This window comes from Homo sapiens, chromosome 11 (genome assembly GCF_000001405.40).
Source record: "Homo sapiens chromosome 11, GRCh38.p14 Primary Assembly".
Lineage (NCBI taxonomy): Eukaryota > Metazoa > Chordata > Mammalia > Primates > Hominidae > Homo > Homo sapiens.
The window spans coordinates 28,610,641-28,637,539 of NC_000011.10; the positions used below are offsets into that span (position 1 = coordinate 28,610,641).

Genomic DNA, 26,899 nt, shown 5'->3' on the forward strand with positions numbered 1-26,899 from the left:
TATAATTAGTTTATACAGACAAATGTTTCAAAAAAGGTTTCCATAAAGGAAAAACATGACTAAAAATAGTCCTTGAGAAGTGGTAGAGGATAATGGTTAAGAAGACAGAGTGTCTGAGTTCAAAGCCTGCTGCTTCCACTTACAAGCCGAGTGCCCTTGGGGAAATAACTTAATATCCCCAAGTCTTAGTTCATGTTTCTACAGAATAGGAACAATAATAATAGAACCTACTTCACAAGGTTGTTGTGAGTACTTGGGTGAAGTTATTATTATTACTTTGAGGATAAAATACTTAGAAACTAACTACTTTAGATGATATGGTTTGACGAGGCATCTAGTTGGGGAGACCACACTGGGACTCCACAACTGGAAAGTAAAGTAAATCTGAATTAAAGTTGTCATCCAAACTGCCAGTACTGAGAAGCAGAAGAACTAAGATGTGCTCAATTTGATATGGGGCTCATGAGGGGAAACATCTCAAAGGGGTTGAGTCTCATATTTGGTTTTCAAAGTACAGAACTTTAAAATAAAAGTGAATGTGGAAATCATCCAGTTCGACTTTCCTCATATACTCTTTGGCATTCCTCATCTAGTGGGAAAATGAGAGGAGGGGAAGGAAGATAACATAAGACTGATCGATGAGAAGCTTCCTGCTGCAAGGCAATTGTGCTCAAGGCTGAGGGCGCTTCTGTGAGACCAGGTGGAATTGCTTCCTTTCCCCTCTGATATCTACTAGCCCACCAGATGGACTCTTCCTTTGCCCTCTGATATCTACTAGTGCCCCATATTAAGTTTATTCTGTTCCCTTACTGGTTCTCCATTATAGTGGATTATTACAATTTCTTGGAAGAAAAAATAAAAAGAGATTTAGTGGCATAAGTTACAGTACCCACTGCTGTGGATGGTCCTGAAGCCACTATTGATACTTATCGTCTCCTTCCTATACCATCCATCTAGATTTCCCTCATCCTCATCCAAAACTTCTGCTTTTCTAGGTTGCTTGGCCTATTGAGTAATCCAGACCTTTATCCCTGAGAGGGTCAGCGTCCTTATTACTGGCCCTAGTCAGTCTGTTGCTTCTGGAATTGATGGTTCACGTTTATCAACAGTCGGAAAATAGCAAGAGATGCCCCAGTGAATCCCCTAAGTTCCACACAATTCTCTCTACTACTCCAACTCCATAGCAGTAACCTTCTCATGCTTCCTAGGGTTAGCTACTGCTGACAATATAGAAACTTTCAGTGGTTCCTGTCAATAGAAAGCCCCAAATGATCAGGCAGCAGGTACAGCTTTAGGATTAAAAGGACCTTTACTGTCTGCTGGCAAAAGTGCCTCCCCATGGAGACCAGTAGAATCTGAAGTTGTGGAAATGCGAAGCACAAATTCCCTTAGCAGATCACTGGAAGTAGTTGTTTCATCCTTGAGTTCCCAGATTCTGGTATTCTGTTAGAAATGGAACACTACATAATGACCATTGGTTAGAACCATATACTATATCTTGAAGAACAGCACTCCAATTCTGCAAGGTTAATCCCTAAGCTGGTGTATTAACTACATCTCTAGAGGCTATTCCAACATTCTATCAGGCCAGCAGCTTCCAGATAATGCAGTATTGGTAGGAAAAGTTAGTCTCATCATCACATGCCCATTTCACGTCTCCTTTGTCTTAAAGTGAGTCATTTGTCTGAGGGGATATTATATGGGATCTCAGTAAATAGACAGTCTCTAAACCATTAAATAATGATGCTGACCAAGATATTACAGGCAGAGAAGGAAAATTCATAACCAGAATATATTATCAATTTCAGGATGATTCACTACACTTTTAGAGTGGAGACAGATATCATTGACTTACCAACAAATGGCTGGTTGGTTTCCTTGAGGAATGGTACTATATCAAGGGCTCAGTGTTAGTATCCCAACCTGTTGGCATTAGCCAACAAGTTAAATATTTGACAGTAGGGATTACTACATTAGCCTTGGTGAGTGGGAAACCATGCTGTTGTGTCCATGCATAGCCTCTATCCCTGCCACTACCACTGTTCAAAATCATATGGGAATGATGTGGAGAGGCCCGAGTAGATGCTGCACACACGGTAGGTTTGCAACATGGTTGAGGAACACTGAGCTTGGGGAGTTACTGCTTTTGTAGCAAGCGAAAGCAATTCTGCTCTTTGTATGAGGGTAGAAATAGCCCCATTTCTTTTACTCAGTGTAAACATTTTGAAAGTCATCTATGTTGTATATTACTTATAATGTACTCCTTTTCATTGCTACTTCACTATAAGGATATACCATGCTTTGTTTATTCATTAGCCTGTATATTTCACTATGAGGATATCCTATGCTTTGTTTATCCATTCACCTGTTGATGGACATATAGACTGTTTCCAGTTTTTGGCTTTCATGAATAAAGCTGCTTTAAAAATGCATATACAAGTTTTTGTACAGACATATACTTTCTTTTCTCTTTAGTAAGCACCTAGGAGTGTATGGATGCATGACATGAGAGGTGTGTCTTAACTTTTTAAAAAATCACCAGTTTTTTTCTAAAGTGGTTGTTCTGTGAGAGTTCCAGTTCCATCACATCCTCTCCAACATTTTGTATGGTCAGTCTTTTTAATTTTAGCTGTTTTAGTAAGTGTGTGGTGGTATCTCCTTGTGGTTTTAATTTATATTCCCTAATGACTAATTATGTTGATCATCTTTTCAAGTGCTTATTTGCCTTCTGGGTTTCTTTCGTGGCAAGGCATCTGTTCAAATGTTTTGTACACTGTTTTATTGGTTTGTTTTGAAAGTTATTATTGAGTTTTGAGAGTCATATTTTTGTCTTTATATTTTTGGTATATGAGTTAAGCTTTATTCTTGTTAGCTGTCCATCTACCTTACCTTTGGCACATGCATGGTTTATTAGCAGTCACCTTAGATTCCTGTGGCTCAAGGATCATGGTTGCCATTTTGGTCTTGTTTCCCATTTCAATAAGTCTCTGCTTGGGCCATGCTGTGACTTGGTCCTATATAACCTATATGTCTAGAGCCACTGCTATCCAAAAGTATTTTCTGCAGTGATTGAAAGTTCTATATATTTGACATAATTGCACTACCCTATTTGAAAAATCAACTTATTAAGACTGTGTTTATCTTTGTCCCTTTTCTACCTTTGCAAAATAAGTAAAACAGAGGGGCATAAATCTTTATAATGAAATCTATCTTAAAATTCAGTGAGTTCACATAAAACACTTAAAAGTATAAGAGTTCTTTTAAGTGTATACAGTAAGAACCACACATATGCTAAAAGTTAATTAACAATAAATTTTCTAATTAGTCAAATATATTTTTCACTCTTCTCAAAACAATGAGGGAAGATAAAGGCAGATCCTGAAGAAGCCAAGATTATCTTACAATGAGTCTGTCTCAAATGAAGGACTTTGCATGGTTTCCAGGCCATGGAGGGATGCTCTTCTTTATCCATGTGGAGGCAGCCTCTTCTGCCAGCCCAGAAGGGTGAGGGGAATCTGAGTTTGTTCTCAAGCAGATTCACCAAATATTCTCACTCCTGTTCTCAAGAACCCACTCCTTCCTTTTAGGACCTGAACTCTCACATAAGGGTCTTGCCAGAGCTGTGAATTTAGCCTCCTTTTTAACTCTGTCATTTTTACAATCAGATTTTGGGTGTTATTTTCAGCCATAGTCTGCCTTCAAGCTGCAGGAAATTAAGTCTCTTCATGCTGCCATGGAGTCGCGCCACCTTTCACATTATGCCCTGAGTTGATAGTTGGCTGATCTGTCATTGTATTTTCAAGTTTTCTGTTGCCATTAAAACAACACAGACAACTTCATTTTTATGCTTAATATTGCATTCCTGTCTTTAAAATCCTAGAGCTAATGCCTAAGCCTTCTACCCGCATTTCATCCCAACCCTCAGGAGATGAACATCTTAGTAATTGTGATGCAGCACATGCTGTACACGTGCCAAATAAATTACTTGTACTGAAATCTTTAAGGGAAACCCCAAAGTAAGACAAAGATTTCAGTGCAAGTTATTTATTTATTTAGGGAGTGTATTCGTCCATTCTCATACTGCTAATAAAGACATACCCAAGACTGGGTAATTTATAAAGGAAAAAGGTTTAATTGACTTATACTTCAGCATGGCTGGGGAGGCCTCAGAAAGCTTACAATCATGGTGAAAGGGGAAGCAAACACATCCTTCTTCACATGGTGGCAGGAAGGAGACATGCCAAGCAAAAGGGAGAAAAGTCCCTTTTAAAACCATCAGGTCTTGTGAGAACCCACTTGCTTATCATAAGAACAGCATGAGGGTAACTGCCTCCATGATTCCATTACCTCCCACTGGGTCCCTCCCATGACACACGGGGATTATGGGAACTACAATTCAAGATGAGATTTGGGTGGGGACACAGCCAAACCATATCAGGGAATGATCCTAGGAAGCTATGTTAGGCAAGTGGAGAGGTGAGACAGGGAAGGGAAGAAAGCTAATATGTGTGCTTATGAGCACACTGGGAATTATAGGGCACCATGTAGAAACTGTCTCAGAGGCTGAGCTTGTTGAGTATTTATCAACCAACTACCATTCATCATTGGTGTGTGGCTTCAACACCTCAGTACTTCAGTCCACCTTGTGAATAGGAAGAAAATGCTCCTGAGATCAGAGAAAGCACTCTGGAAAAGATTCACTAGTGCTGGCAGAAAGAGTAGTCAGCATGTATGGGAACAATGAGTACTGAGTGGATACGGTCAGAGGCCTGGCAGTATAAGGCACAATGCCCTATCCCTTATCTTCTGTTCATTCTTCTCCTGCACAACTCATAGCAACCTTGGTTCTCTTGAAGATTTACAGTTTCCTTCAAAAAAACATTTGTTTTCTTACTTCAATGTCATTGCTCATGCTATGTCTTTGCTTGGAATATCCTCCATCCCCAGAGGAGGCCCGCCCCACTTCCCTGGTGAACTCCAACTCTTCTTTTAAATCTTAATTCAGCTGCCACTTCCTCTTGGATGGATTTCCAGCTTCCCTTGGGCAGAGTTGCATTGTCCTCTAAGCCCACTTAATGCTCTGTGCATATTTCTGCAACAGCGTGTTGCTGTTGTTGCAATGCTTTTTTTGTCCCCAAGGAACTTGGAACAGCTTATAAAAGGATTTCTCTTATTTACCTTATTTCTTAAGAACATAGCATGGGGCCTGGCATTGTGTAAAGTATCAAAGGCTGTTGAATGAATAAACAAATAAATGTCATGTACTATAGCTCAGATCCTTTTCAAGGTCTCATAGCTAGTTAGTAACAAAGCTAGGAGTAGAATTAATGTCTTTTTTTAAATTTTTTTTATTGTACTTTAAGTTCTAGGGTACATGTGCACAATGTGCAGGTTTGTTACATATGTATACATGTGCCATGTTGGTGTGCTGCACTCATTAACTCGTCATTTACATTAGGTATATCTCCTAATGCTATCCCTCCCCCCTCCCCCCACCCCACAACAGGCCCCGGTGTGTGATATTCCCCTTTCTGTGTCCAAGTGTTCTCATTGTTCAATTCCCACCTATGAATGAGAACATGTGCTGTTTGGTTTTTTGTCCTTAACACCGAATCCTGGAGGAAGTGACTTTTTTCTTTAGAAACTAGAAGTCAAAAAAAAAAAAAAAAAGCACAGAAGTAAATGTCAAGGATGACATGTGGAAATAATGTTGTTTTATTTACTTTGTATGGGAGACCATGTGGTTATACTGCCAACCTGGAAAAATTTGGTTTTAGAGCGATATTTGGAGTGGGTGTGGGGGCATCTGGGAAGCTGTGTGATGGCTGGGCTCTTCAGATGTCTAGATAGAAAAAAACCTGGTGGAATGGGGTTGTATTAAGGGAACAAGCTGTTGACTTTTCCGAAGTTTCATTTGCACTTCATTGTTTGGAAATCCCTTTTAGTCCTTTAATGGGTATGGTTGGTTCATTGGCTGCGTTTCACATTTTCAGCAGGCAAATTTCTTTCCAAATGAGTTCAGCAGAACCTCAAAGTGACTAGTTTTATTTGCTTTCAAACAAATGCCTTATTTGTTACCTTGTTATCATTTCAAATAATGATCTTTATAGATGTTCATTTGGAGTTGCTCCCCCAAAATTCAGAGTTGCCAAACCACTGCATTTCCTTGTGCATAACTGCTCATTCTTTGAGGTCAGCCACCAGCTAAGATAGGTTTTGCATTGGTTCGGAATTTCATGTAAGCCCTCAAAAGCCTGTTTCAGAATTCAACAGTGATTTTCTGCTTAGTAGCCCAAAGACTTGAGTGGACAGCAAGGTTTGAGTTTGGGGATTTATCAGGGCAGGCTCTCTGGGGGGCTGCCGAGGCACTGCAAGATGGACATTTAATTTAGCCTGGTGGATGAGACCTAAGGGCTGACCCTCAGCTTTATTGCTTTAGAAACCTGGCATGTGAGCTCGCAGAGGCAGGATCTATCTCACAGGAGAGTCTCACAGAACCTGAGTTTGAAGAGACTGACAGGAAACACAGAATATGCATTTACTGCTTTCTATTGACTCACGTATCCTTCATGTACATTCGAAAGCACATGTCATGGTCTCTCTTTGTCAAATTTCAGAAAGCCAAATTCGAATCAGTTAAGAGTTTAGTGAGCATGGAATCAGAGAAAGGGAAGTTTGCTGTATGATTCAAACGCTTTATGGCATTTTTCTGATACCTCTGATCCACCATCCAATTGGTAGCCAGGATGACATTTAAAAAATTTAATCTGAGAAAATGAAAATCTGAACATGTCATCTCTCAGTTTAAGACCTTCCATGGTTTTGAACTGCTCCTAAAATAAAAGTGGAAAAAATAACTTGTTCCGTAAAGTCTGACATGATTTTGCCTCGTCTTCCCTCTAGCTTCATGGTTTGCCTTTAGTCTCCAAGGTCTGACCTGCTTCTCTCTTCCTACAATGGCTTTCCTCTTCCTTATCCTAGTTAACTCCTATTACTCTTTTAACAAATGAGTAATAACACTTTAAGATCAGATATATTTTTATTCATGTTTTTAATAAACATGTATCTGTGTCTACTATAGATACTAGTAATGTAACAGAGCAAAGTCCATGTTCTCATGAAGCTAACATTCCTTCCTTCCATGAACAGAGCCATACAAAAAAGAACAACCACCAAAAGAAAATATAAAATATATACATATATGTAATATCTGAAAGTAATAAATATGTTGGAGAAAATATAAATGGCACAAGAGATGTGAGGAAGGAGGAAGTTGCTGTTTTACATACAGGGTTATCAGGGAAGGTTCCACTGATAAATGATGTTTGAGCAGAGGCCTGAAGGAAGTAAGGAGATAGCCTTAAGGGTATCTAGGAAAAGCAGATTCTAGATAAGAGAAATAGCAAGCCCAAAGACCCTAAGGTTGCATTGTGCTACTGCTTTATAGCATTTACCTCATGCATTACTTAGAGCAATTATGCATTTCTATGTACCATTATTTGATTAATGCCTGCTTCCTCCACTAGATTTCTGAGCTGCCTGAGAGTGGAGATCATGTCCATTTTTTTTCCATATTATATTCCCAGACTGTACAGCACAGGGCCTAATGTGGAATATATATATTATATACATATTTGTGGAAAGGAAAAAGGGAAGATGAGAGAGAGAAAGTGGGGTGGAGAGAGGGGAATGGGTGAAAGGGAAAGAGGAGTTTTAGAGAGGGGAGAGAAGGAGAGAGGTTAGGGAGAAAGGAAGGACGAAATCCCCAAAGAGGCAAGTCCTGAGCATCCTCTTCTCTGGTCTGGGCAAAGAAGGGTACCACAAATATTAACTCTCAAATCTTCATCTCCACTCCAGGCTTCTGTTGCTGAGCAGTTTTTCTGTTGCCAGGCACATTTTCCCCCCTTTAAATGCGCAAATAATTTCATCTGGATTAATGTCAAGTCTTACAGGCCTGGAAGTGCTTTTCTGAATCTTTAACATGACTTCTCATATTTTTAGTATGATTCATTTCTGGTGATTTTATAGTTTAATTCTCAGGAGGCCTCTACTTTCCTCATGTCAAACTTTTAAGGGCACGTTACTTTTGCCCTTGTCACTCCTTCACATGCATCCTTCCTAATTTCCTTTTGATCTTCATGATCTACCAATCCAGGCCCAATGGAACAGGTTAGAAGAGTATCCAGGAAAATGCCTCTTTTCTGGGACAGTTTAAATTCCCCAGGTAGTTAGCAGAGATTTACTTCCTGTGTTTTTGAAGCTCTCATAATTCTATGACAAGATTGGAATAGACACTGAAACAAGGATTCCCAGAAGGATTAGCTTTTTATCAAGTAAGATGGGTCAGACCCCAAACTCTAATCTGGGTTCCAGGATGGGTGAAAACAACCACATACCTGCAGTTTAACGTTGCCTTTGCTTGAATTTACTCCTGAACCAGCACACCATTCGTTCACAGATCACACCTAACACCAAGGATATAAATGTGCTGAAAGTGTTTTGCATTTGCCAAGAGTTTTATATAAGCCCTCTTGGTTCAGATCTCCTATGATCTCTCCAACTAGTCAGATGATGTAGGGATTTTCTGGACAAGATAATTTGGGGGGACTTTATATTTCTTCTAAACACTGTCTTAGACATTTGGATTTCAGGGCAGAAAGTGAACATTTGGGTTTCAGGGCAGAAAACTTAAAGGGCAGCTAAGTGTGTAAATTCATAGCTAGTAAGACATTCAGAAATCATGTCCTCAATCTTACAGGCCCAGGAGTCAGCAAACGTTACAGAAAAAAGGGCCAGATAGCAAATAATTTAGATTTTGAGAGCCATGTGGTCTCTGTGGCAATGAATTAACTCTGACATTGTAGCATAAAGGTTGCCATAGACAATGTGTAAATGAATGGGTGTATCTGTATTCCAATAAAGCTTTATTTATAAAAACAAGTGGGGGCCTGGATTTAGCCCATAGGCAGTAGATTGGTGATCCCTATTATAGGCCATACAAGTCCTACATTGTTGTGCTGACTGAAATACACATTTGATGGTGAGCAGCCCCTGTATGAACCAATATAGGGGATAAAGTTAATTACCGTTATTCTTTTATACATTTTGCAACATATAATCTTTTCTTCCAAGGATTCTCTCATCTACAATGTTTAATGAAATATCTGTAATGATAGATAGGAATTTCTTCAACAAAGTGAAAGATGTTCTAGCACTTTGCTGCTAAAAGTGTGGTTCATGGGCCAGTAGCATCCATGTCAGTCAGGAGCTAGTTAGAAATATAGAATTTCAGGACCTACCTCCCTTATCTATTGAATCAGAATTTGCATGTTAACACAATCCCTGGATGACTCATATTTGTATTAAGATTCGAGAAGCACTGTTCCAGCTCTCAGCAATGAATGCAGCCTCACAAGCAGCTTCATACTGCAATCCTAAAAGATGCAGTGCCGATTTCCAATAATTCCCTAAAACAACTGTAGATTTCTAACAACCCTCTAAAACGACTGTAGTAATAGGTTTCAAATTTTGTTAAAGAGACTGCTACTGTGAGTCTTGTTATGTGAATAACCATCCATTTACTTACCTGTTTTGCAAATGATTGATTTTCACACTGTTTCTTAAAGAGTTTGGCACATTCCTGCCTTTATACGTGGCTTTCTTAGTTTCCTTAGCCTAGAATGACCTCACACTAACTAACCTCTTTCACTGACTAAATCCCATGTATACACTGGTGCTCAACTCAAGTTCCTTTTCCTTTGACATGTTTACTCCCTTTTCCGAACTCCTACTCTTTGGTGAACTGACACTTTGCTGACCACAAGTTCTAGACTGCAATCTCTTTTGAGAGTGGAGACTTATATCTTGATTGTTCTTGAAGCCCTAAGGGCTTATAATATCTTTCCTTGAATGTGGTAGTAGCTGTGAATATTCTACATTGATTCCCGTATCACAGGAAAGGGGGTGCACTCGTACTTGTCAAATGCACAGAGGCCAAACTCTTTCTCTGAAACAACAGACACTTCACTACAACTTAACCTACATCTCAATCCCATTTAAACCTAATAGGGACTAGTAGCCGTGGTACTAAACATAACCCTAGGAGCTCTGGGGATAGCATTGCAGATTATGAGCTAAATGTAGACATAAGAGGACATAGATAGATAGTGTATGATACAGGATCCATGGAGGCTCATATTTTCCAGCACCTGATCCTGTCTATCAAATGTCATTTGGTTGAGGGTAAAGTGAAGATCTGCCACTGATACTCTGGGGTTTTCGGGTCAGGAGAAGTTGATTCCTGTAGGAAGCCTTACCTGTGTCTATTTAGTAGATTCCTTTACACTGAGTCTTTCCATGAATGAGCCAGACTTGATCTATTTATTCATCTGTTGATTGATTCTCTCTTTTTTTTTTTTTTGAGACAAGATCTCTCTCTGTCACCTCTTCTGGAATGTAGTGGCACGATCACAGTTCCCTGTAGCCTTGAACTTCTGGGCTCCAGAGATCCTCCTGCCTCAGCCTCCTGAGTAAATAGGACTACAGGTGTGTGGCTCCACACCCAGTGATTAAAAAACTTTTTTGAAAGAGATGGGGTCTCACTATGTTGCCCAGGCTGGTCTCTAACTCCTCACCTCAAGTAATTTGCCCACCTCGGCCTCCCAAAACATTGAGATTACAGGCAGGAGCCACCATGCCTGGCCCTGATTCTTGATATCTTAATCACAAACAGCACTGTGCTTAATGCTGCAAAAGTATAAAGGGCATATACAGAAGTACACAATATAATCCCTGACCTTTCAATCTGGTTGGGGAGGAAAGTGAAGGCTTGCTTCTATTGTTAAATAAGAAAATGCATGACAACTCAGTCACAGCAGTTTGTGGCAAAGTGGTCAGTACTTAGTACCAATGGATGTATGGTCAGTAAGTGGTATGGTGGTTAGTAGGAGAGCCAGAGAGATTGCTGTATGTTGGAGAGTTAGGGAAGGTTTAATTGAGGTGATGGGTTTAGGGTAGGGATGCAGCAAAGGGCACTCTTTGGACAGACTTGTAAGGAAAGGCTGGAGTTACTCAGATCTGGGACAAGATCAGCCTCCAAAAGGACCCATTCCTCCCCACCTCCCTTCTCTTCTTGTTGTCTGGTGTGCGGCCAGGAAAAATTCACTGCTTTCTGTTTCCTGGAAGCTGCATTGCACCACTGGCCAGGGTTGGTCTATTAGTCCTCCTTCCTCCTCCCCATCACCCAACAAATGCAGCCGCTTAGCAGTCTGCTGGACGGATAATGCGATGGAAAATCCCCCCCACTTTCTCATCAGAACGCAGTTCATTCACTCAGTGCCAAGTTGTCTTTCCTCTAGGCTCCCTGAGGAGGCCATGGAATAGACTGCACAGCAGCCTGGGCCTACCTGAAAGCGAAAGTGAATTCTCGCTGCAGGAAAAGAGCAAGGAGCTGCATATGCCGCATCATCTGTTCCTGCTTATTTTTTCCCTCTGCTGCAATGAGACCTGTTCTCAGCTCTGAGGGAGGCAGCAGCTAAGGTTGACTCCCATCTTTAGGAGAAAATATTTATCAACTTTAGGGTAGAATATTTTTTCAAGTTACTATACACTTACCATGCAGTCAACAGATATTTATTAGGCATTGATTTTGTGCCAAGTTCTGTGTCAGATGCTGAGGATATGACACTGAGTAAGACACAATTCCTGCTTTCTTGGGATTTTTGTATAGGCAGAAAACAGACAAATTAAGCCAGGTAATTACAATTCAGTGCTACAAGAGAGGTGTGCACAAGATTATTATGTACCACCCAGGAGGAGTATGCCTCACCCAGACTTGGGTGAGGTACAATATGAAAGGCTTCCGGATATAGTAATGTCTAAGGATTGTTTTAAGAATGATGCCTAAGCACTTGTTTTAGGAATAAGTAGGAGATGCTAGGTGGAGTCGGATGGGGAAAAAGGAAGCAGTAGAGAAATCTTTCCAAAATAAAGGGAACTGAATGAACAAAAGTCAGGAGATAAGACAGGTCAGTGCATTAAGGGAATTGATTGTAGTTTAGTGTGGCTGGAGAGAAGACTACAGGTGAGGGGAGTAGTTAGCAATACAGCTAGAGAAGTAAGCATAGACCCTGTATGTAGTATAAGTTTCAGATATTATATTGCAGGCAATGGGGAGATATGGAAGAATTTTATTTTATTTTATTTTATTTTGAGATGGAGTCTCCCTCTGTCTCCCAGGCTGGAGTGCAGTGGCGCGATCATGGCTCACTGCAAGCTCCGCCTCCCGGGTTCGTGCCACTCTCCTGCCTCAGCCTCCCGAGTAGCTGGGGCTACAGGTGCCCGCCACCACACCTGGCTAATTTTTTGTATTTTTAGTAGAGATGGGGTTTCACCGTGTTAGCCAGGATGGTCTCGATCTCCTGACCTCATGATCCGCCCACGTCAGCCTCCCAAAGCTCTGGGATTACAGGCGTGGGCCACCGCGCCCAGCCAGAAGAATTTTTAAGAAAGACAATAATATTATCCTATAACGTATTTTAGAAAATTCATACAGGGTGCAGTGTAGAGACTGGACTGGAGAAGGACAAGACTAGGGCAGAAGGTTGAGGAAAAAGTCATGCAACTGCTAGAGTTGTTTGTGGAAAAGTGGCCTGCACACGATACCAATGAATGTCAGTTGACAGGACAGAAAGAAAGATCCCGGTAGACTGAAAGAGTAAGGGAAAGTTTAATATAGGTGGTGGTTTCAGCACAGTAATATGATCATGTTATGCATTTTAGAAAAATCACCTTGATTATAGTATAGATATTGGCTTGGAAAGGGTATAAAAAAGAGTGGAAAGTTGAGGCTAAAATTCAGTAAGCAATGCTGATAGCAAGCATCTCCTGCCAGTGGATATGGCACTGTCTACTTGTAAACTAGACAGATTCATGAGATATTAATTGATTAATTTAGTGATTGATTGGATAAGAGAGGGAGAGTCCATAATGATGTAAATTTCTATTGCAAATTACAGAAAACCCAACTCAAGCTGGCTTAAACAAATAGGAAATGTTTTGACTCAAGTAACTACACAATCTTCAGGTGTAACTTCATGGTGTCAAATGTTCTCAGGGACCATCTGTCCATTGTTTTCTCCAGGCTTTATTCTTAGGCTCAGCGTGATGCCCCTAGTAACCTCAGGATGACATTTTCTCGGCACCCAGCCTCAGGAAAGAGAGATTCCACTTCTCCAATGGGTCAAACAACAGTCGTAGAACTGAGCCTTATGGACATCGTCTGTCTAACTTAGACCACTGTCCTTCTTGGAGCCAATCACTGTGACTGGTGAAATGAGTATGCCTGATTTTGACAAGGTATGTGTACCTCCCCTAGAGACTGTGTTATCCCAAAGCATTTGGGCTAAGAGTTGGCCAGGGACAGCTCCTCCAAACAGAGTTCATGGCATGGTCATCAGAATGAGAGTAAGGAGCTAGTGGGTAGATAAAACAATAGACGTCCACCTCATATGATGCCTTATTTTCTGATTTGGGTAACTGTGGGTGGTGGTATCATTCACTGAGATCAGAACCACAGAAATAGGAATATATTTGTGAGTTTTGAGTGTAGGAGCTTGACTTAGTCCATTTGATCTACTATAACAGAATGCCTGAAACTCGGTAATTTATGATAAACATAAATTCATTGGGTCATAGTTCTGGAGGCTGAGAAGTCCAAGACTGAGAGATCAGCATCTGATGAGGGCCTTCTTGCTGTGTCGTCTCATGGAAGAAGGGCAAAGAGAGAACAAAAGAGAGCAAGAGCACATATATAAGTATAAACGGTCTTGAACTGGCAGCCTCAAGCCTTTTATTTTTACGTTTTTTTTTTTTTTTTTTTTGAGATGGAGTCTTGGTTTGTTGCCCAGGCTGGAGTGCAGTGGCGCGATCTCGGCTCACTGCAAGCTCCGCCTCCTTGGTTCACGCCATTCTCCTGCCTCAGCCTCCTGAGTAGCTGGGACTACAGTCGCCCACCACCAGACCCAGCTAATTTTTTGTATTTTTAGGAGAGACAAGGTTTCACCATGTTAGCCAGGATGGTCTCGATCTCCTGACCTCGTGATCCACCCGCCTTGGCCTCCCAAAGTATTGGGATTACAGGTGTGAGCCACTGCACCCAGGCCTCAAGCCCTTTTATAATCAACATTAATCTATTCTTGAGGGTGGAACCCTCATGACCTAAATATCTCCTACCAGGCCCCACCTCCTAACATTGTTACGTGGGGAATTATGTTTTCAACAAATGCTTTTTGGGGGATACAGTCAAACCATAGCAGAGGGGTTGATAATTAGGTTTAAAACACAATGGCTTAGTACATTCGAACTTTGTGTATAAGAATTTGATATTTTGGATGGGTGGAGAAAAGATGAACTGTGCCCCTGGATTTTTTGTTTAAACAAACATAATATCTTTACTGATTATTCTGGCTCAAGAATTTCTGTTGTCCAGACTTCACACCACCATTGTCCCAGACAAGGTGCTAGATACTGAAAATGCAAAGTTGAGTGAACCATGATACTCTCTGTTCTCAAGGAGCTGATAGTGTGGTAGGAAAGAACCATAATAACCAGAAACTACACTATCATGAGTTAATTATTATAAGAGAAGAACATAACAGGAAAAGAATTAATTGAAAGGAAAGAATGAGTGATAGACTCTTCGAGAGTTGGGGAAGTCAGAAGGTGATTTCTAAGTAGGGTTTTGCTGCGAGTGGGAAGGGAGTGAAAATCCTAAGTAGTATGTACGTGTTTGCAGAATTGCAAGTAGCTCTGTATAATGAGAACACAGAATGTCAGGGGTGTTGGCAAGATGCTTTGTCCATTGATAATTCTTATTCTAAGTAGCAGCATGGCCACTTATCCATGTGGTATAATTTGGGAAAAAGCAAATTTTATTCCTCCACAGCTCTACCTATTCAATATCTTATAAAATTTATTTTATGGGTAAAGGGCTAGGGTTTGGGGCAAAAATGAAAATACTATCTTGAAGCAAGTAGTCATCAAGGTAGTTATTAGCCTTTGTTGTATATTTCTTCTCATTAGCTAATTACATATGATTCAAACAAGCAGGGCTTGAGGAAGTGAAATACTGTTTCAACTATCACTTTCTAATACTCTCCCATCCCTGCTAAACACATATTAGGTTACCAGTCAATGTTTGTGTATTAAAAGTTCAAGAGCATTGGTTGCTGCTATAGGAAAGACTGATTATTCACCAAGAACTACCAGACATATATTTCTCCCCTAGTTCTCTCGTAACTTCTTTAATAAGCAAACTCCTATCAAGAACAATTTGTTCAGATGTTGGCACATTGTATCACAATTCTTCTATTCACATATCTGTCTTACCCATCAAACCTTAAGCTCTTTCTTGGGGCAGCTCTTTCTTGGGAACAGGAAAGATATACCTTACATACCTTTATAACTTATGTGTCTAGTATAATGTGTATGTATAATGTATATATGTATGTATATATATGTAATGTGTCACTCAGACAAAATTAAGCCTTTAAAAGACAGTCATATTTTTTAACCATCTTCTTGCTCTAGAAGCTTCTGTATAGCAGGGCAGAAGGAACCACCTCTCTAGAAGGTTTAACACAAGAATTTCTAAAAATGACAAAATTATTGGTTGATGATAACTGTCTTAGTCTGGTTGGGTTAAGAAACCAGACTTAGACTGGGTGGCTTATAAGCAACAGAAATTTATTGCTTACAGTTTGGAAGGCGGGGAGGTCCAAGATCAAGGTGCCACCAGTGTCTGGTGAGGACTTAATCTCTGGCTCATAGATCATGCCTTCTAACTGTGTCCTCACATGGTGTAAGGGACAAGGCAAGTCTTTGAGGCATCTTTTATAAAAGGCACTAATTGCATTCTTGAACACTTCACCCTCATGAACTAATCACTTCATAAAAGGCCCACCTTCTAATACCTTCACTTTGGGGGTTAAGATATCAACATATAATCTGGGGGACACACAAACACTCAGACCATAGCAATGACTAAATCCAGTCTGGGTTATTCCTTGCTCATTTTCTGTCATTTCTTATTTGTGTACCCAATATTCTTATCCTATGATGTTTTGTTAAGGGTGGTTTACTTCATGTAATCGGACTTTAATTCAACTGCAGAAAGTTGAGTTATACTATTTGTATAAGCTGATCAAACTTTGCTGTAAAAATCTTTACAAAACGTTATTAAAAATTACAAGTAATACAAGCTTCTTGTGGGACATTTAAAAATATAAAAGTGTATTAAGTAAAGAGATACATTCTCTTCTTTCCTTTTTTCTACCTATGAAGCTCCTTGCCCACTATATTCTTCCAAAATTCTTTCTATGCATTGACAAATTTACTCATTTATTTTTTCTTTCAACACATAATTATTGAACAGCTGCTATATGCCAGACTGTGTTCACACAGTGATGACACAGCTGTAAATAAAGGAGGCAAGTTTTTTGCTTCCTTGGAATTGACATTCTAGTAAGGAGCAGAGGTAAATGGGTTGATAAAATAATAGAGAATCTTTTGCTAAAATATATTAACTTTTTAAAAAATTGATGTTTTCCATTGAAGAGTGCATATCATTTCCTCGGTGATAATGATAAATAACCCAATAACAGCAGTAACTATAATAAAACTTCAGTCCTGAAGTATCTGGTAGCACAGTGCCTGACACATAGTAAGTACTCATCAAATACGTAAATGGATGACTGGTATCAGGAACTGCAAGGGTGACCCCCAGTCATCAAAGAAAGAGAGAGTACTAAGTACCTTGCAAGGATGGGAGGTTGTCCTGAAAGAAAAGAGCATTCATTCATTCATTCAGCAAATATTTATTGAGTAATTACTATGGGCTAAAACTCTTCTAGGCATTGGGCGTGAATGAACCCTGAAGATGGAATTTACCTGCTTCAAACATTTATCAGAGACCTCCCCAGAAAAATCTGTAATTTACCGTAGTCACTTGTTTCAGAACTGACTGTTGTGAAGCTCTCTGTGAGAGGGGAATATGAAGATGGTAACAACAACCAGAAAAATAGGATTTTAAATTATTAGAGTGCCAAATATGATATATTTTAAATCATTTCAACTAGGTCACTCTAGAAAGAGCCTTTCTGTTTCTGAAGAGGCTTAATCCTCCCAGCTAATTTCCTCTAATGGGCCACTCCAAACCCAGTCCTCTTTTTTCTTTTGTCTCCTACTGCTTAAGCCTCATCAGAGGCTGCTGAGCAATCTTTTGAACACAAGAAAGAAGATCATTATCATCATTATGCTGTTACCCTTGAAGAAAGCATGTAAAGAGGCTGACAGAGGATGCATAATTTAAGAAAACATGGAAACTCAAGGTTACATAATAGCCTCTTGATTTTCCAAACTGCCACTAAATGTAATTGAGACTAAATCTATGTACACACACAGACACAGACACACACACACACACACACACACACCTATTATGAGATTGTTTTGACGTGTTCCATCAGACTGTAACTCATGATAAAGGGAACCACATCCACTTGTTCACCAGTGTATAATCCAGTGTTTGCATATTACCTAGCACAAAGTAGGCACTTCATAAATATCAGTTGAATGGACAAATAAATAAACTGTGTTTCTAACCCTCGTTTTCAGATATTTCTCATCTCTATCTTTTTTATTTGCTGTAGTTTTTATATTCTCATTATTTCATTTTAGATGTTTCTCTCTTGCCCCCACTTCCCAATTGTCCTCATTAGTTTATGGAACTCTTGTATTACTAGAGAATAACCTTTCATTACCTATGTTTCTATCTGGCTTACAAGTTTAGGGGAGGGTCAACTCTTCAATCTCCCCACGCCCCCTTTGAGTTGATCCCCAGATGGGGCTGCCTACTCCATGATACCGATAGTCCCCGCAGAGCACTCTTGAAGGCCTGGCAGTATAACAATGGCCCCAGGAGTCTCCTTTATGTCTATTGATTAGGATTCAATGTCCTCACGCCTGGGGATCAACTTCAATTCAATTTCAAGTCAGGGAAGTTGTACTGAACAAAGCACCTGTGATGTGGAGGAAAGAACATTGGGAGTCAGACCTGGGTTAATGTTGGCATTAACACTTACTAAATGTTCAGTCTTGGGAAAGTTATTTAACTTTGAGCCTTGGTGTCTTCATCTATAAAGTGAGATGAAGTACATTGACATATCTATCTCAGCACAGTGCTTAGCTTATGGGAGATGCTACAGATTCATTTGCTTTCCTACCTATTCCCTGGTTTCCCTGTATATTCTAATTGAAGGTTTCTCAATGTCAGCATCATTGACGTTTTGGACAAGATGATTTTTTTTTTTTTTCTTTTGCTGTGGGGTCTGTCCTGTGCGTTGTAGGATGTTTAGCAGCAACCCTGGCCTCTACTTGCTAGATGCCAGTAGCCCTCTCTCCTGGTTGTAATAATAAAAAACGTCACCAAAAAATGTTAAACATTCCCTGGGGGTCAAAGTTGCCCCTGTTAGGAGCCATTGCATTAACCTTAGAAGATGAATGAATTAAACTATTAAACTCATTCTGCAAATTTGGCTTACTTCAGATACGTGAACCAATCCTTGCCAGACTGTAAGATGTAATAGTTGTTCATTATCCATCCATTTGTCTTTAATTCATTCATTGAAAAGCTTTTTGAAGTCAGGATCTTAAAAGCTGATTTTATACCCTGCTATATGTCCAAGGGCCTAGAGTTGTAGTTGACACGTAATAGACACTCAATATATATTTGCTGAATCAACAAATGTGTTGAAAAATCCATCCACCTATCTCAAATTTACTGAGAACATCTATCATGTAAAAAAATAATGTAAATGCAATACGGACTTTGTGTTCAGGGAGCTTAGTCTCTAATAAAGGAGACAGAAATTTACAGAAAACCTAATAGTGTATCTGTATTAGTTTTTTAGGCTTGCAATAACAAGGTACCACATACTGGGTGGCTTAAAATGAGAGAAGTTTATTCTCTCACAGTTTGAGGATAGAAGTCTAAAATTAAGGTGTTAGCAGGGTCAAGCTTCCTCTGAAGTTTCTGGAGGAGGATACTTCTTTGCCTCTTTCAGCTTTTGGTAGCTGCAAGCTTTCTTAGGCTTTTGACAGCAAAAGTGGAATATCTGTCTTTACTTGGTCATCTTTCCATAAGGGTGTCATGTCTCTGTTCCTTCTCTACTGGTAAGGACAACAGTCATATTGGCTGAATGACCTACCCTATTCCAGTGTGACATTATCTTAATTAATGACATCTGCGAAGACCCAGTTTCCCAAATAAGATCACATTCTGGGGTACTGGGAGTTAGGACCTCAAAATATCTTTGTGGAGGACATAATTCAACCCAAAAGAGTATTACATTTAAAAATTGAGTTATTTTTATTTAAAGCACTTTCCTTAAAGTGCTTTATTTAAATACTTTCTTTAAGTACTCTGGGACCAGAAGGAGGGAGAGAATAATTCTAATTGTGGATGGATAGAGTGAGGAGTGATTAGGATTGGCTTCTTGGAGAAGCCTTGAATGATTAATAGAATTTGGGCTAGCAGGGGTAAAATAAGGAAGAACAATTTCAAGCTGGAGAGACAGCATAAAAAGTGACAGACCACTGGGTTAGCAAATAGATGGCCACAGGCTATTAGCCCCTCCCTCGCTCAGGCAGCCACTACCTGCTATCCTAATTCATCATTCTTGCTGATCCCAAACATCAATCTCATAATCTTCCTCATTGCAGCACTACAGACAGCTATGGCTAGTCAAATGGACTGGGCATCAAGAGAAAATGTATTTATTACCCTGGCATAGTGGCAGGGAAGTAGTTTAAATAACTGACTAGTTCATGCATCTGGAATATGGGGTTCACAGTGGGGTGGGTGGATGAGGTGGCTGATTCAGTTGTAAAAGTTTTGCAAGAATTCAGCCTTAGTCTTTTTAGTTTATTTATTTATTTCTTTTTAGCCTTCAGTTTTTTATTTTGTTTTTGTCCTTGGATTCTATGCAATTTCTGTCTTTACAATAATTATCTCTTTCCCCATTTTCTATTCTACTCAAGCTGGTTTGATAAAGCTTCAGTTCTTTGAAATCAAAAGAGCCCTGCCCAGATAAATTCATTTGGGAGTATATTAGTTTTCTTTTGCTGCACAACAAATTACCACAAACTTAGCAGTTTAAAACATAAGCAATTTGTTGTCTTTGAATTCCTGCAGATCAGAAGTTCGAGCACAACATGGCTGGATTTTCTGCTTAATATCTCACCAGTCTGATATCAAAGTGTTGGCTGGGGCTTTGGTTCTCATCTGGGGTTTGGGTCCTCTTCCAGTCTAACTTGTTGGCTAGAAATATTCATTTGCTTACAGCTGTAGGACTGAGGTTACTATTTTCCTATTAGCTGTCATCCAGGGACTTCTCTCAACTACTAGAGGCCCCTGGCAGTTCCTTGCCACATGGTCCCTCCCCACAGGCAGTTCACAAAGTAGATACTTTCTTCTAGGCCAGCTAGAGCTCATCTCTCTGACTTTGTTTTCTGCCACTAGCCAGAAGCCAGCATTTTAATTAGGTCAGGCTCACCCAGGATAGTATCTCCTTGCCACCAAATGTAACATAATCATGAGAGTGATAGCTCATCATTTTCACAGGTGCCACCCACACCCAAAGGGGAGGGGATTATATGGAGATGAGAATCGTTGGAGGTCATCCAAGAATTCTGCATAGCAGAAGGCATATGCTAGTGGGGGTAATCAGCTCTCATGGCAGACCTGTGACTACCTATAACCTTGGGTGATATGCTTTTACCACTCTGAGTCCCAATTTTGCTCACCTATAAAATGAAGGAGGTGTTGTTGATAAGGCTAAGGTTGCTGCTGGTTCTATGAGTCTTTGGAATTGACATGAAACATATTTGTGTCTACTGCCTTCTGGAAGCTCTTGAAGGTTCTCCTGGTCAGGCTGATGGGGGGTGAAACAGGTGGGCCACCCTTGCCCTTTCAGTACCACGTGAAGTCCTTTGATTCCAGTGCCACTGCCCACTTCCTATTAGTATGTAAGCTGCTTTTCAGAGATGAAGAAACATATATGGACCATTCTGTTCATTCATGGCTCTAACTCCTCTAATCTTGACAACACCTATCATGGTGACACCTATCATGGTTAGGGGCATTTTGGGAGCGATTTTTTATGTGGATGCTATGGCCTGAATATTTATGTCCCTACAAAATTCATATGTTGAAACCTAATCACCAAGGAGATGGTATTAGGATCTAAGGCCTTATGAGGGGGTCTTTTCATCCCATGAGAATGGGATTAATCCCCTTATAAAATAGGCCCAGTGGGGCTTGTTCACCCCTTTCACCACATGAGGACACAGTGAAAAGTCACCATATATAAATGAGAAAACAGCCTTCGCCAGACATTGAATTTCCTGGCATCTTGACCGTGTACTTCCTAGACTCCAGAACAGTGAGAAATAAATTTCTGTTGTTTATAAACTAGCTAGTTTTTGATACTTTGTTATAGCAGCCTGAATGGAATAAAGCAGTAAAATGGACACAATTGCATGTGATTCTGGTCTTCTCTGGATTTCGGCCTCTCTCCAGCTTTTTCAAGGCAAGGCATAAATGAACTAAATAAAGTTAATATTTTAAAGTTTCTGAACATTACCACTATTGCCACTGGCAAGAATTGATAATTCACTGAGTACCACATGACTCAGATTCTAAACTGCTTTATATTTGGTTTAGGGTGAATCACCTCATCTTTCTATGGGCTCCACATTTTACAAGAGATTTTTTTTGTATCTTTAATTACACTATAGATGTTTTCATTAGTATGGACTAATGTCAGGAATTTGTTTGATCTGCCTGTCTTCACTGTAGTTGCTCATTTAGTCAGAACTAAATCAGAGGCAGAAATGCCTTTCCTTTTTTTCATATTTTGCCACATATCATGCTGTGTATCGTCGGTGACAGACCCAGAGGGCAGAGTCTGTGGGTAGATAGGTTGTCTGATGAGTTATGCTTGAACATTCTACAAACAAGCTGGAAGAATAAATCCTCAGAGGGTGTGATTCCACTCACAGGGCATTCATAAATAGAGCCAGAATATTATATTCACCTGTACACCCTCCCATATCCTCTTTCAAATCCTGTCCTTACACATTTTCCGTGGAGTGTACAAATAAAGAAGGCATGGGAAGGCTGAATGGGTGGAGATGAAGAAGAGATGTCCTATCATACTAATAATGTCTCCTCCCTCCAGTTTCCTCTTGGAGAGGCTGCCCATGTTCCCTTCACAGAATATGCTTCTGTTATCCATGCCGAATGGGTCAGGAATTACCACTGGTCTGCTTGATGGCTTGACTGGACAATAGGACCCCCCAATTATCTCCTTAGAGTCTCTCTGCTTGGAACTTAGAATCAAAACACAGAAGCTTCATATTTCTGCAGGCACTAGACTTCAAAAGGCAGTAAAGACATGTTAGGGGTGAGAGTTGCTAGTTTAGGCTGCCTGCACAAAATGAGGTAAAGCCAATGAAATAGTGGGTTGGAGAGCGAGAGGCAGAGAGAGAGAGAGAGAGAGAGAGTGACAGAGAACAAGAGAGTATTTAACTATAACCAGACAAGCAGAGATGAGACTCTTTGTTATATTTACCTCGGAATCTAACCCAGTGCCTGGCACACAGTAGGAGTTCAGAATATTTGCTGAATGACTGACAGACCATCTAGCCTTATAGAGGTGGAAAGAGTAATTACAGTGGTCCCTCCCCTACATCTCCTTTCTTTAGGTCCCTTTAGATAGCCTTGTGTCCTCATAATATATTATTGGTTTTGATTTTTAGCACATTTAAGTGCATTTCTATTACTTGCATCTTGATGATCCACAACTTAGGCACCAGCCAGCATGAGCACTTAACCTCAGCTCTTCCCTTCTCCTTCCTACCTGGACACCAGCTCAGACCAACGGAAGGGTGGATGTTGGTTTATATTGCATGCAGAAGGCATTCCTTAACATTTGTGGGTATGATCTGTGTCTCGCAATTTATATGGCCTTTAGACTTTACAGAAGTGTTTTACACTGAACAAACAGAAATCTAGTCACTTTTTAGAAGCAGCTTTCAGGTATGGTTTTCCATTCCATGCTCACAAGCATCACCTGGTTAGAAGTCCTCATGGAACCAAACCTGTGTTCTGATGTCCATCTCATGTCTTTCTCATTTACAGGGCATTTGTTTTAAAATTCATGCACACACATTATTGACCATTCAAGGTATGGGAGGCAATGTTCTAGATGATGGGAAAATGAAGCAAACAAAACACATGAAGTCCTTATATTTCATTATTCCCTATTTTCTTCTAGTCTCAGATTTATTCTCTACCTTCTCTTCCCTGCTGTATGCCTGGGAGTTGGATTACTGTAGACGGCACCTGTGTAACCTCGCTGGCTGGATTCCAGTTGGGTTTATCCAGTGATAGGCAATGCAAAAGATGCGAGGCTGGAGTGGTGAGAGATTGGAGTTTTTTGCCTGGTGTTTCTCTCTGCTCAGAGGTCATAGCCCCAGCATTGGCCATCTCCTCTATGACCACAGCTGCTGTTGGCCAGGCCTTCCTTCAAACTCCAGCAATAACTGATTTCAGGAACAGTATTTCCTCCCCTTACCCCTCCCTCTAAGCCTAGGGGTGGTAATGACTTCTGTTTTTTTTCACACTTCTAGATGTCTCAATATTTTTCTTTGTTTTCTTTAAACCTGCCTAAATACCTCTGTAAAGTGCCCACCTTTCTTTTTCTTTTTAAATCCTTTCAGTGAAACCATCAGAGTAGAATTCCTGTCCTGCTAAGACCCTGCCTGATTCAGTCCCTAACTTACTTAGAGCTTACATTTTATGGGGCAGTGACAACCAACAAATGAATATCAAATACATTATTATATGGTGATAAGTGGTATAAAGGAAAATAAAGCAGAGTAAACAGAGTAACAGGCACTATTTTAGTAAATGTGGTCAGATAAGCCTTCTCTAAGGAGGTCACTGCTGAGCAAACATCTGACTAAGGGAGGGACAGAGATACAAAAACATATAGACAAGTGCAAGGTCCTGAGATGGGAACATGATTAAAGAACACAAAGGCCAATGTGGAGCCAAGTGCGCAAAGCACAGGCCGCTAAGACATGAGACCATCATGTTTACCCTTTTGCTTATCTACTGAAAAGTGATGCCCTAGTAGCTGTAGGGAGAGGGAATGTGGTGTGATGAAAACAATGTGAATCCTGAAGTCAAGCAGTTCTGATTTCAAATCTCAGCTCTACCATTACTAAGTAGCCTTATGATGGTGAACAAATTACTTCAAATCTCTGACTCTCAGTTTCTTTGTTCACAAAATGCAGATAATAATGAATACCTCAAAAGGCTGAAACAAAATTTGTCAATTCATAGCACGGTGCCTGGTGTATGGTAGGCTCTCCTCACTTTCCCTCCTCTTCCTCACTTGGCCGTAATACTGTCATACGCTGAATTCAATCTAAGCTCTCTGACCCCCTGGGCTTTACCAGACTCCTCGGTTGAATACTTTCATAGTACCCTTTATTCATTTATTCATTCAGTCAACAGAGATGATCATAATTTACTACAGTTTGCAGTTATAATTTCATTTTGGAGATGATATTTTAATGTGCCTCACCCCCACTAGGCTGTAATCGTGATTACAACAGCGATTCCTCTGAGAGTTTGTTCATTCTTGGATACTCAGCCTCTAGCACAACACCTGACACAAGATGAACATTTCATAAATATGTATTGGAAGGAAGGAAGGAAGGAAAGAAGAAAGGGAGGGCAGGAGGGAGGGAGGGAGGAAGGAAGGAAGGGAGGGCATCTATCTTCTCAATAAGATTTAATTCTCCTAGTGACTTTATTCTCTCAAGGGATTCCAATTACTCATTAAATACTAGTTTAATTGAAACGAACTATATGTAAAGCTTTATACTTATTTCTGTGAAGTATATAAATAAGAAAACTCTGTGAAGGCCAAGATCACTTTATCTTTTTCATCTTTATATCACTCATGCATAACATAATACTTGGCACCTCATGATAACAACATACTTAATAAATATTTGCAAATAAAAGTAAGCTAACAAATGATTTAATATCTGATGAGTGTCTGACTGTGTATGTTGGGGATAGGGTAGGGAGGATATTATGAAATAGAATGATCTTAAACATTTTTATAAAATCACAATGAGACTTAGAAAATATTTTTCTTTTCCCCATCTAGCACACAAAAGAGGGCTCTAAAAAGAGGCTCTTTTGGAAACTGTCTAGACGAAGTGTCAGGTAGGAAGGGGCAACACTTTGAAAACATCATTTTCCTTTTTTCTGTTTGGAAAAGGTTGATGGATGGGATGTGTAAAAGACAGAGATGAATGATTTGATTGCCCTGGGGAGACTCTGAAACCTGCGATGACCTGGGGGAGGGACTCAGTGAGGATTCCTTCTCCCACCTGGTACTGGTTGCGTGGAGCAAGTACATTCCAAGGCTGGACAGCATCTGACATCCTGCTGAGAACAAAGCCCCACAGGCATGGGACATATGGTTCTGGTTATCTGGGAGACGGTGCCTTTCAAGGACAATAACACCTCCCCTTTATTTGGGATATATATCAGAGGGGCTCACGGCCCTGCCTAGGCATAGCTTCTATCCAGCAGCACAGGAACAGACAACAGTCCTGGGGTCTAGTGGAAGCACCTCTCTATCAAAACTGGAGCAGGGTTCCTTAAGGCCATACTTTTGCTGGGCCTGCTGAAGCACTATGGATATATGGTGCTTATTGAAATGGTCTCATCACAGTCTCTGAGTAATAGCCCCTACCCAAAGCATTCACGCTGTCTGTCTATGAAATTCTTTAAAAGGTCTATGGCTGAGAAAACCCTACAGCCCAGTCGAGTTCACAATGCAGTTGTAGTCAGTTACATCTGTGCCTTCTGCACATCTTTGTTCCGGCTGAAGCCCAGACTTGGACTTTAAAAAATATGTAAGATATCCAATGCTTTGTACTTGCACATCTGCAAATACCAAGTTTTCATGAGAAGCAAACATGAACATGGCTTTCTGCCTGCTTCATCCCATCCTTTAGGTGTTTGGGTTAAAAATGCATTCCTGAGAAGTTAGAATAACTAAGTATTTTTTTATATTGGTTATGCAAGGGATGGCATATTAATTTGACTTTGAAGAGTAGATATCCCTGTCACTGGCAGCACAACAAAATAATCTCTTTTCTATATTTGGAAAATTCATCATAGTGTACATCTTTGTGGAAGTCTGGGTTTACCGTCTTACGTGCCAGACACGAAAAGCCAGACATTCACTCCTCCTTTCTGCTGGCCCCTCGGGGTGGGATTGTCAGATAAATTAAGGGACACTCAGTTACATGTGAATTTCAAATAAACAACGGTTTTTCAGTATAAATATATTTCAAATATTACATGGGAAATACACTGAAAAAATTTATTGTTTATATAACATTTTTAACTGTGTATTTTGTATTTTTACTTGCTGAATCTGGTAACCACCTGAGGACCAGGACATGTGACTAAACTTCGACCAACCAGATGCTACAGAGAAGCAGCAGCGATTTAGAATTTATTCCACCAATGCCAATGGTAGAAGTGGCATTCAATATCCAGTCATGGCAGTAGTGGTGCCAGTGATGGTGTCCATAATTCAGTCAAGTTGGTGCGGCTTGACGTACGGTGATAGCAGTGGCAGCAGGAACAGCATCCTGCTCCAACTTCAGATTACTTAAGCCTCCCACATAGCTTTGGTTTACAAAGTTTCCTCAAAGATAGTATAAGTGATAGAAATGAAAA

At 40.2% G+C, this 26,899-nt stretch overlaps 1 long non-coding RNA gene across 1 annotated transcript in view, besides 1 other annotated feature; it reads left to right on the forward strand.

Moving 5' to 3' along the window:
- Positions 1 to 26,899, forward strand: part of LINC02758 (long intergenic non-protein coding RNA 2758) — a 140,695-nt gene that overhangs the window by 71,694 nt on the left and 42,102 nt on the right. Inside the window, exon 5 of the long non-coding RNA XR_002957243.2 lies at positions 13,142 to 13,356. This is a non-coding gene — a long non-coding RNA (long intergenic non-protein coding RNA 2758). The remainder of the gene's footprint in view (positions 1 to 13,141; positions 13,357 to 26,899) is intronic.
- Positions 17,638 to 18,360: an enhancer, noted in NCBI's record as "OCT4-NANOG hESC enhancer chr11:28649825-28650547 (GRCh37/hg19 assembly coordinates)". NCBI's record gives its function as "activates a minimal SCP1, AML or CMV promoter by ChIP-STARR-seq in primed H9 embryonic stem cells {active_cell/tissue: H9 hESC(primed)}" and the evidence as "EXISTENCE:reporter gene assay evidence [ECO:0000049][PMID:30033119]".